The 12,652-nt window shown below is 35.7% G+C and overlaps 1 protein-coding gene across 1 annotated transcript in view; it reads right to left on the bottom strand.

The window, feature by feature from the left end:
• Positions 1 to 12,652, bottom strand: part of MSH3 (mutS homolog 3) — a 222,164-nt gene that overhangs the window by 57,176 nt on the left and 152,336 nt on the right. The window contains exon 20 of the mRNA NM_002439.5: positions 5,899 to 6,056. Coding sequence (NP_002430.3) covers positions 5,899 to 6,056 — 158 coding nt within the window. The remainder of the gene's footprint in view (positions 1 to 5,898; positions 6,057 to 12,652) is intronic.

The raw sequence follows: 12,652 nt of genomic DNA, 5'->3' as shown, positions 1-12,652 counted from the left end.
TGGTGGGCACCTGTAATCCCAGCTACTCAGGAGGCTGAGGCAGGAAAATAGCTTGAATCCAGGAGGCGGAGGTTGCAGTGAGCTGGGATCCTGGGATCGTGTCATTGCACTCCAGCTTGGGCGACAGGAGCGAAACTCCGTCTCAAAAAAAAAAAAAATTATATATATATATACACACACACACACACACACATATACATATATATACACACACATATATACATATATACACACATATATACACATATATACATATATACACATATATATACACACATATATATACATATATATACACACACACACATATATGGGGAACTGGGTGACTTGTCCTATATATACATATGTTTTTAGCACAACAGAGTTTAAATCTCATTATTGGGCCAATGTTAACATCTCCTAATAACATTATAATTTCTATGTCATTACTGATGACACAGAAATGTAATGGCCTTCTTATTGCATAACTCCACCTCTGTGCCACATGCTATAAATTAATGATTTTGATACTTTTTCTTCTACTCCATTCTACTGCATTAAAAAAAAAAAGCTTATTTGGGTCAACTGGACATTGGTTGCACCCTGATATGCCATGATGTGGAACACAAAGCACTATCTAGGAAGTATTACCCCAAAATGCTAATTGCAATTCAATGCACTGATTTCATACGCACAGTTTGAAACAATGCCTATCCTACACGAGGGATCTTATCTCTTTCTCAAATGGCTAAATCCCAGAACAATAACAAAAAAACTTATAAAAAAATCCAAAGATGTACAATAAAGAAAAATGCATAATGCAACTCCAATGTAGCCATTATCAAGCTCAAACAATGATCAATTCATGGCCAATCTCATTTCATCTCTATCCTACCAAATTTCCCTATCCATCCTTGATTATTGTGATGTATATCTTGGGTAGCAAATCATTTAATATGTAAACATTTTAGCATGTATCACTAAAGTAAGGATTTTTCTATTAAATCATAACCATTGCATTGCACTGTTTATCTCACTTAAACATTTTTTTAAGTAATTCTTCAGTATCATTAGATACCCTGTCAGTGCTCAAAAATTTTTAAATGTTTCACTAGTGCTTTAAAAAAAAAGGTTTATGTGTTTGAGTCAGGATTGAATTAAGATCTGTATGTTGGAACTGGGTGACTGGTCTTTAACTCTCTTTTAATATGCAGGTTCTCTTCCCTCTCTCCCCCACCTTTTTTTTTTTTTTTTTTTTGTCATTGCTATTTATTTGTTAAAAAAAAAAAAACACCAGTCATTTGTCCTATAGTTTCCCACAGTCTAGATTTTGCTGACAGTACCCCTATGGTGGTGTTTAACATGTTCCTCTATTCTCTTTTTCTCTTGTAAATTGGTATCTAGATCTAGAGGTCTGAACAGTTTCAGTTTGATTTTCTTTTTAGATGGAGTCTTCCTCTGTTGCCCAGGCTGGAGTGCAGTGGCGTGATCTTGTCTCACTACAACCTCCACCTCCCCAGTTCAAGCAATTCTCCTGCCTCAGCCTCTGAAGTAGCTGGGATTACAGGTGCTTGCCACCACACCTGGCTATTTTTTATATTTTTAGTAGAGACGGGTTTCACCACGTTGGCCATTGTTGGCCAGGCTGGTCTTGAACTCCTGACCTCAGGTGATCCACCCACCTTGGCCTCCCAAAGTGCTGGGATTACAAGCATGAGCCACCATGCCCGACTATTCAGTTTGATTTTTTTTGGCCAGAAGACATCATAAGTTGTCACAAACTTTTACCTAATGTCTGGTTGTCTCTGCTTTGGTGACATTAGCAGCCATTTCTGATTATTACTTAAATCTGTTATTACATCAGGGGTTGCAAAAAGGGTGATACTCTAATTCTTGTCATTCCTGCTTGGTTTATTGGCTGGAACATTTCTATAAAGAGAAACTTCCCCGTTACCTATTTGAAAAGATAGGATACCTGCTTGGATCTTTATTTTTCAGTTTTCAACCTCCATGTGACTAATGATATTTTGATTTTAAGTATCATTAGGATTCATTCTAGGATCCTCCAAAGGTGATTAATTAATTAATTTATTTATTTTTAGAATAATAAATTCTTGGAAATAACATATCCCACTGGATATCCCATTGAAGTACGTTCAAGTCTACCATTTAAAAACAAAAAACAAGTCCCTCACTGGATCTCTCCTGTCTTCTTCCTGGCCAACCTTTGCAGTATCACCTGTACTAACCCCCTCTACTTCCTGACCTCTAACTCACTCTTTAGCCCTCTTTTAACTGCAGTGTGGCCCCACCACTCCACGAAAGCAGCTCCTGCTAAGGTCATTAGTGACAGCTATTTTGCTAAGACCAAAGGTGACTTTTCAGGCTTCAACTCACCTGACCTTTCAGCACTGTTGACCACTACTTTTCTTCTTGAAGCACTCTTTCCCCTCGCTCCCATGACACTGTAATGTCCTGTTTTTCTCTCCTGCCTCTCTGGCTACACCTCCTTTGTTGGTTTTCAACCTTAACTTCTTACTCAACTATGAAATCTTGGCAGTTTTAAGGTTCAGTCTCAGAACATTAATCTTCTCCACCATACTGTCTGTCAAGATGATCTCATCCACACCCAATCACGTACACAAAAATGTCTCACAACAAATTTACATCTTTACCTTTGATCTCTCTGTCTGAAATCTAAACTTTATATCCACTGCCTACTATATGATAGCTCCCTTTGAATGTCTCAGAATAATTCTACTTATTATACACAAAGATAACGTCGGAATCTATGAAAAAACATCCTCTTCTAGTAAATGTCACCATTCACCATTCAGATGCACAAACTCAATGTCATCTCTGACAACTCCATTTATCTCAGCTGCCATACCCCTATCTATCGCCAAGTCCTGGTGATTTATTTCCCAAATATATTTCAAATATGACTCCTTTCCACTTAAACTAGCACTACAAACTTAATCCAAGCTACTTACTGATCCTTTCACCAAGACCACCAAAAGAGCCTGCTCTTTGGGTTCCTCTGATCTACTTGGTTTTTTCTCCAGACATTCTTTACAGTGTAACCAATGCAGACATAATCATGCCAAACCCTGGTTAAAATTCTTCAATAGTTTACCATGGCTCTTAGGATAAACTCCTAAAATGACATGGCTATGCTTCACCTAGAATCTTGCTCTCCTGGAGGACCACCCTTCACTCATTGTCTATGTTTTTTATGCTAAAGGACTTTTGCACATGCTCTCTCTGAAATATACTTCCTTCCTTCTTACACTCATCCTTCAGATAGGCACTCAAAAGTTACTTGCTAAGGGAAGCCTTCCCCTGACCTTCCTGACCAGATCATATCAGGATCACAGCCTGTCCTAACATCTTGCATATAGCCTTCATTGACTTGTCATAGCTGCAGTTTCACATTTCTGTATGTGATTATTTGGTTAATGCTGATTTTCTCCACTACATAGCTTTCATGAAATCAAAAACTGTGGTTCCTTTGTATTCTCAGTGCCTGCCATATGTTAGGTATTCACTTAGTACATGTTGGATGAATGAATAAATGAAAATGAATGGATAAATACTCCAATTTCTTGAAATCAGCATGGTTTAGAAGGCTTAGACATGTACTCATTGAATGTACTTACATAAAGTACTCTATATAAGGTGCACATAACAGTGCCTGTACCTTGATAAGAATATTACACTAATATTGTAAATATATCATAAAGGTTGGCTGTTACTATTATTACTGATTCCACACCCTGTGACAGAAACTATTTTCTGATTACCACTGATTGTATTCCCAATTACTGTGCTTAACTCTATTTAAAAGCTGGACAAAAACTACCTTCTTATTTTCTGTTTTCCTTGCAACTATGGCCATGAGACACAGTTCTGGTCAGTGAAAGGTAAGTTTTCTGGGAGGATCCTAAAAACCTACTATGTCCTAAAAAAATTTTTTAAAAAAAGGGTGTGGGGGAGCTATGGCAGTCCCTTCTCCTTTTTACCTCATGTGAATAGGAATGTGATGCCTGGAGCTGCAGCAGCAATCTTACAACTCTGAGGGAAAGGCCAGTGAAATGGCAGAGCCACTGAAACACCAGAAGTAGCTACCCACCTCCAGCCTTCTCCTTATATGACAAAAATAAACCCTTCTTTTATTTTACTTGTATCTACAAACATTCTTGCTATTCGGCTCAGTAACAAGATTTCCTTCCAGGCAAATCCCCTTATATTGACCAATAATTTTTTTCTTTTTTCTCTTTTTTTTTTCTTTACTAAATATCTCTGCTACTTTCCTTAATACTGTAACCAAAATAAAATACCTGGTTTGTTTTTCTTATAAAATAGAAAATCAATTAAGTCTTAAGAACTAAAGAAAGACTCTTTAAATTTCTTATTTTGAGTTAATTTAAACATATATGGGGATCAGAATAACACCTATTTGGTGACATGGCATCAAACAGAATTCAGGGTACTTTGTTCATTCTCAGATGAAAAATGAAGCTTTAAAGCATTTTAGTGTCTACTCAAGAATATCAATATTAGCATGTGATATATTCTGATGTGATTCCACAGTCAAATATTATATAAATACGTAGCTGGACAACAACTCAAGACACTCTATACACAAAGCTTGACTATGCACAGAGACTGTATTTACTTTTTAGAAATGTACATGTAAGAAATATACACGATGCTTTAAGAACTGATAAATCAGAAGGTGTTAAACAGATTAAACTACGAATTCTCCTTAGTGAAGCCAGGATATTTCACTCATATTCCTAACACGGCATAAAATTTAGGTTTACACATTGAGGGTAAGACTTAGTCAGTTGCATGTAATGTTCATAGAGTAAAAAGGGATATCAACAAAATGATCTTGGTCCAATGCCTTTTGCAGTTTGTTTCAGGTCTGCACCTAAAATGGGGAGGATGGACAAGTTTTCAGACTGTGCTCTACAGAGCCTAACAGCCAAGTCTCCAAGCCTTCTACCCCAGAAGACAGAGCAGATCTGTTTTTATCTGCTTAAATATTGATTTTCTACAAAAGATTTTCTTCAAAATAAGAACTCAGCTGGGTGTGGTGGCTCACGCCTATAATCCCAGCACTTGGAGAGGCCAAGGCGGGCGGCTCACTTGGGGTCAGGAGTCAAGACTAGCCTGGCCAACATGGCAAAACCCTGTCTCTACTAAAAATACAAAAATCAGCTGGGCGTGGTGGCAGGCACCTGTAATCCCAGCTATTCAGGAGGCTGAGGCAGGAGAATAGCTTGAACTGGGGAGGCAAAGGTTGCAGTGAGCTGAGATAGTGCCATTGCACTCTGGCCTAGGAAACGAGAGCAAAACTCCATCTCAAATAATAATAATAATAAATAAAATAAAATAACTCAATAATTAAAAATAATTTGGAAGCTATTGGACAAAATTAACTCTTAAGTCTTTTCTAGTATTAACAGTCATAATAAAAATAACGTGGGTTTTTTTTCTGTTTTTGTTTTTGTTTTTTTTTTTTTCTTTGAGACAGGGTCTCACTTTGTTGCCCAGGCTGGAGTGCAATGGTGTGACCTCGGCTCACTGTTGCCTTAACCTCCCCAGGCTCAGGTGATCCTCCCACCTCAGGTTCCTGGCTAATTTTTTCATTTTTTGTCAAGATGGGGTTTTGCCATGTTGCCCAGGCTGCTCTCAAACTCCTAGACTCAAGTGATCCTCCTGCCTTGGTCTCCCAAAGTGCTGGGATCACAGGTGTGAGCCACCGTGCCCGGCCTTGAAATAATTTATTTAAGCTCCTAAATGTTGAGTGCTTTAAGAGCATCTAAATATGTACACAAAAGGAAAATTCATGCGATAATGTGGGCTTGACTTATTTTCAAGAATATATGCAAGCTGAATTAACGTACTTACCTTGTGAAAATGCCATCCACAATCCCAATTGTCGCTTCTTCTGCAGGAACATAGGAGCCAATCTGAGCCATGATGGTAATCAATGCAACTTGTTTTATGTAGGAGCTCTTTCCACCCATGTTTGGTCCGGTAATTATCATTACTCTCTCTGAGTCCTCCTGAAAATTAGAAAGGAATTTCACTTATTGTACCAGAAAAGTTTTTGATAATATCCACAATTTATCTCATAAGTGGAAATGCATTAGGCAAAACATTACTTTGTAGCATAAATATCACAAAAGGAAAGCGGTCCTCTGTCTTCAACCTGAACTGTGTGATACTGCAGAAAAGTGAATTCTTAGCAGTACACACAGCTATTCCTGGGTATTAAAAAGGAAATAAGACCAGAAGTGGATAACTGCTATGGCTTTCTCATTAAGCATTTTTTAATCTGCCTATGTGCATATTCTCCCTATTGCTTATGTTTAAAGACTATCAATTTCCATTTGTCCATCTTAAAACAACAGGTATTACATATCTATTTGCCCATGGCCCTATTTGGGGTTGGCAGCACATGTAATTTTTGGCAGCAATTTTTCAGTTATAGGTAGATGACTACTAAAAGATATAACATCAAATTCTAGACATTGGTTTACCAGCATTTAATTATTTACTAGCATTCACCACAGCATGTGAACGAGGCAGAATTGTAACTCTTGCAACAACTTAATTTTCTAGGACTTATCTGTACTGATCAATTATAGTATTTTCCAGGTACACACCCCTGCTAAGGGAAACTGTCCAACTACAGCCCTTGGCAGAGGAGTTAGCCCAGGGCATCCATGCTCTGGGCTATGTGAATCCCACATTTTGGCAATAGCTCCCTGGTCAAGAGTAGCCAAGCTGGCCAGGCGCGGTGGCTCACACCTGTAATCTCAGCACTTTGGGAGGCCAAGGAGGTGGATCGCTTGAGGCCAGGAGTTCAAGACCAGGCTGGCCAACATGGCAAAACCCCAACTATACAAAAATTAGCTGGGTGTGATGATGCCAGTTCTCGGGAGGCTGAGACATGAGAATCACTTGAATCCAGCAGGTGGAGGTTGCAGTGAGCCAAGACAGCACCACTGCATTCCAGCATGGGTGAGAGTGAGACTCCATCTCAAAAAAAAAAAAAAAAAGCCAGAACCAGCCAATGGGCCTAGCTAGCATAAAAGCTTCTCAAACTAGGCCAATCAAATAATCTTTTGGGAGTTAACTGAGAACCAGTGAGGTTCAATTACTTGGTAACTTGAAGAGAGGCTAAAAAGAATCACAGAACCAGGCCACAAGGCACTGGGGATCATAAGTAAGTAGTTATGAGAAAATAAAAGGTATGATGAAAAATTATTTAGACCAGGGGTAAAGAGGGTAATTAGTAATGAAAGGAAGAAAAGATAGACAAAAGCCAAAAGGAAGTGAGAAACTTCACACAAACAACTGGGTATCAAAGTAAAGCCTTATAACATGTTACTAATGGGGGATAAAAAGAAAACCTGTTCCATCCCTAAAGCTGTATCATATTCTAATTAGCCACACATTTCCAGTCTCCCTAATGCCAAACTGTGCTAGAGATCCTGCTCTTCCTGTGTAATTCCTTTCTCTTAAGGCTCCATATGGCTTTATATTGCACCTAATATATCTCCATTACTTGAAGGAACTTGAGTATACCTGTGTTTCTTGTGACAGAAAGAGCTTAACACAATAAGAACCTGGAAAGTAGTTTGGTATAAGCAGAATGATAAAACTAATGATAAAAATAAAATGAATTTTACAGAGAGTAAAAAATAAGCGTGTCATAAAACAATGATAAAAATAATGATAAAAATAAAATGAATTCTACAGAGATTAAAAAATAAGCCTGTCATAAAACAATCAAATATTGGCATGATCAAATATTTTATATCTCTTTTTAATCTCTTTAATCTCTTTTTAATCTCTTTTTTAATATGTCTATCTCCTTTTTTAAAAATCACAAAACGACACAAGAAATAGAAAATCTAACAATCCTATATTTATTACATTTGTAAAAGCCCTTCCACAAGAAAAACTCTAAATGCAGAGAACATCCCTACTGAATTCTTGCAAACATTTAAGAAAGAAATAGCACGAATATTACAAAAATTCTTCCAGAGAACAAAACAAGAATTTTTCCCAAATAATTTCAGATTTGGATATCTTATCAAACCTGAAAAGAACATTACAAGAAAAATTACAGACCAATTTCACCCATAAATATACATGCAAAACTTCTTAATAAACTATTAATAAGTCAATCCAAGGTTATACAAACCATTTAGAGCTTTTGAGGAATACAAAGTTGGTTTAATAATCAAAAGCCAATCAATGTAATTCACCACATTAACAGAATAAAGAAACCATACAATTATCTCCAATAACACAGAGAAAGTATTTGATAAAATTCAACATTCACTTGTGAAACAAATGGGCAGGAGAGGGAAATAAAAATAAAAGGTATAAGGGCTAGAAAGTAAATAATAAAACTCATTATTCCTATATGTCATGATTGTGCTCCCAGAAAATCCAAGGAAATCTATAAAAATTGAATTTTGGATACAACTTCAGTATTCAAAAATCAACTTTTCCCCTATATTTTAGCAACAAATACAGGTTGAGTATCACTTATCCAAAACGCTTGGGGACAGAAGTGTTTCCAATTTCAATTTTTTTTTTATCTTGAAATATTTGCATTACAAATAAAATCTAAAATGCTCTGAAATCCAAAGCTTTTTGAGCAACAATATGATGCTCAAAAGAAATGCTCATTGGAGCATTTCAGATTTTAGATTTTCAGATTAGGAATGCCCAACCTGTAATTCAAAATAAAACATTGTTAATGATACAATTTACCATAGTATCAAAAGAAATCAAATACCTAGGAATAAATCTAACAAAATGAGCAAGTCTCTACACAGAAAACTACACAACATTATTGAAAGAAATTAAAGAAGACCTAATTAAATGAAGGAATATACCATGTTCATGAACTGGATGACTCAGTATTATAATGCTACAGTAATTACAGTAGTGTGATTTGGCACAATGACATACATATCTAACCAGTGGAATGGAAAGCACAGAAACAGATTGACATGTATACAGTTCCTTGATTTATGACAAAGGTGACACTGCAGCACAGTAGACAAAGGACAGTCTTTTCAACACAGTATGCTGTCAAGATATGGAGAGCAATATGGAAACGCCTAGCAAAGTTAAAGATTGTGTATATTGGTCTAGATGACCCAGCAATTCCTCTTTTAAGCATCTACCCAAGAAACATACAAGTGCTCAAAAAGGCATGTATAAAACTGTTCACTGTAATATTGTTTGTATGTATTCATAACTGACAAAAATAGAGATAATCTAATTGTCTAATGTGAGGAAAATAAATAGATCTACTTGTACAATTGTTAAAACAATTATTTACAATGCAGAATACTAAGATAAGCTCAGTGAGACATTAATGTACCTTTTTTAAAATACACAAAACATGATTATATGCTACTAGTTTATATATATATATATATATATATGTATGTCAAACAAAAGAATAAAAACCATGCATAAGGATAATAAATAACATCAGGATAATGGTTACCATGTAGGTTAGGAGATGAAGATGGAGAAAAAGGAATAGCAGTTAATTACGTATGACCTTAGCTGTATCTGCAATTTTTTATTTACTTAAAAAACTCCTAAATATTACAAAACGTCAATCTCTACGACATTTGTGTGATGGGTAAATAGGTGTCTGTTATACTGTTTTATATACTTTTTCATTGGCTGAAATCATAAAAAATCAAATAAATTTTCTTAGTTATTTCATGGATCACCATCACAAACAATTCAATAACTCCTTACAAACACATTTATGTAATTTAGGAATAATTCACATAACTTCCAAATGACATTTTGTTATTTGGACTTCAGAACATTACATACAAATAAAGCAATAGAGAAAAGTACAAAATGGAAAGTGAAAGAATGTAATGCCAGAGAGAATGTAATGTAAGAATGCAATGCCAGAGAGAATACCGCACAGAAGGGTTACGTGTGTCATGCCAAGGCTCCCTGAACTGTGACAGCATTGTTAAAGGAGCTGTCTCAAATGGGATTACCAAATTCAACAAGCACATGAGAGGGACCAATGGAAATGCAGAAATAGAAATGTTTTTAAATCGGTAGTTTAGAAAGATATGAGAAAAAAAGAAAAAATATACACTTTTTATTTTGTAGAAACCTATGCCTTCCAATACCTTGAAAGATAAGAGTATTTATACTTATTGTTCAATTTGGCTTTTTCACACAATAAGAATCAATAATTTGACAGTGTATTCTTTAAAAGTATTAACTTGGTAAACTAAAATAATTTAATAAGATTTGTAGTGGTAAAGCATATTATAATACCATTTAGAGTTAGAAGACTGAGGTTCCATTTCTGGCTTAGCCATTGGCTAAATACATTTCATTTTCTCATCTGTAAAATTTAAAAATAACAGAAATCCTAGCCTTACGTGCATTTTGTAAAGTTTAAAACAATTAAGAAAATATATATGAAATTCCTTTGAAACTATAAATGCTATAATTTTTATAAATCATAAATTCTTAAAAATAAAAGATGCCCAAAGCAGCCACATGAAGTCCCAATGCCCTATAAACTAATTAACTGAAACAGAAGAAATGAACTAAAACAAATGAAAATACATTTGGCTTAGGCCTAATGTAAAAGTCAGATGTGAAACTTATTTGAAGGCCTTGATGAGTAAAATGTGTATGGCATTTACATGAATAGAAATATTGCTCTCTTCGAATTTAGATTGTGTATATATATATATATATATATATATGAAGAAGATATATTACCCAAAGTAAGTAAGTCTGACACTTTCCCTTTCCAATATTTTCAAAAGGAATAACATTTTTTATATTGAACTACACAGAAACTGCTGGCTTTTAAAACTATACAATCATGTATATGTTCTTTGAGCATTTCATTTCTCCTGAATTTAATAGGGAATGATGAAGTTTTTAGTTTATTTGAACTTCAGGATTTCAGAGGTAATTGATATACAAAAATCAATTCTTTGTATATATAGAAAAAATATCATATAAAAATTTAGACTTCACAGCTCTAATATTTAAACCATGTTTATTTAGCTGGGAAACAGGTTTCTTCCCGACACCATCCACCACTAAGTGGTGAGTGAGTGAGAGAACAAAATGACCCTTAGACAACTTCTTCAACCAGGTCAAGGCTAGCTACCAAAATCCTGCAGCAAACACAGGCTTAATGGTGAAATGGTAGAAGCCTTTCCTTAGGTCAATCAAGACACGATATCCACATTTTCCTGGAGGTCCCAGATAGAAAAACATAACAATAAAAAGGCATTAGGATGAGAAAGGACAAAACAAAACTGTCATTGGCAGATCACATAGCTGTCCACAAGGAAAACCAAAAGGAATCTCTATACAAAGTATTATAATTAATGAGAGGATCTCTAGCAAAATGGCTAGATTTAAGATCAAGATGCAAACTCAGTTGCATTTTTCTGTAAGAGCAACAAATAATTAGAAGACTATTGTAAAAAAGATATGACCTATATACTAACAAAAAGTACTTAGTAATTAATCTAATAAAAGATGTAAAAACCCTTTATAGAGAACACTTTTAAAATTTATTGAAAGGACTTAAAACCAAAATAAAAATACAGCAGGTCCTCAAATAATGTCATTTCATTACAAAATTGATAAGGGAAAAAAAATTCCCAGCCTGGCCACTGTGTTTGCACATTCTCCCTATGCCTGTGTGGATTTTCTCTGGGTATTCCAGTTTCCTCCCACATGCCAAAGATGTACAAGTTAGGTTCATTGGTGTAATAGCCCCGGTCTGAGGTGGGTATCTGTTAGTGTGCCCTGTGATGGGATGGCATCCTGTCCAGGGCTGGTTCCTGCCTGGTGCCCTGCACTGCCAGGATAGGCTCTGGCTACCCATGACTCCAAAATGGAATAAGTGGGTTGGAAAATGAGTGAATACAAATGATTGTCAAGTAAAAATTCATAAGGCAGGTGATAATCATACAAATGCATGACAATAAACTGATGTAACACAAAAGTGATAAACAAATCTGCCGCACGTATTACTCGTTTTTGAGCTGCATGGTAGTAGGAGGTACTTCTCACAATTTTCACTATGGAAACATTTATTCCTTGATTTAACCCACCATCACTATGACCTCTGTCACTCCCTGATTTACCAAAAATTGTGTATCCAATAATCTTATTTGTTTTTATTAATCTTTCTTAAACACATAGTTCATACTTTTTTCAATGTTTAATATTAGAAGTGTGTTGGGTCTTTATTTAGAAGTTTGATGATGTTTTCTGTGGCCAGAAATATGACATAGGAATTTAACTTTGTTTATATCCATTAGCCTATGGTAAAATTGGTTTCATTATATGTCATTTCACTTAAAGTTGCAGTTATTTCCTTTTCCTTTTTTTTTTTTTTTTTTTTTGAGACAGGGTATTGCTCTGTCACCTGGGCTAGAGTGCAGTGGTGCAAACATGACTCACTGTGCCTCAACCTTCTGGGCTCAAGAGATCTTCCTGCCACAGTCTCCAGAGTAGTTGGGACCATGGGTGGGTGCCATCACATCCAGGTAATTTTTTTGTAGAGATGAGGTCTCCCCATCCCAGGCTGGTCTTGAACTCCTGGGCT

The sequence above is a fragment of the Homo sapiens genome, chromosome 5 (assembly GCF_000001405.40).
Source record: "Homo sapiens chromosome 5, GRCh38.p14 Primary Assembly".
Classification (NCBI taxonomy): Eukaryota; Metazoa; Chordata; class Mammalia; order Primates; family Hominidae; genus Homo; species Homo sapiens.
This window is presented reverse-complemented; position numbering and strand designations above follow the sequence as displayed.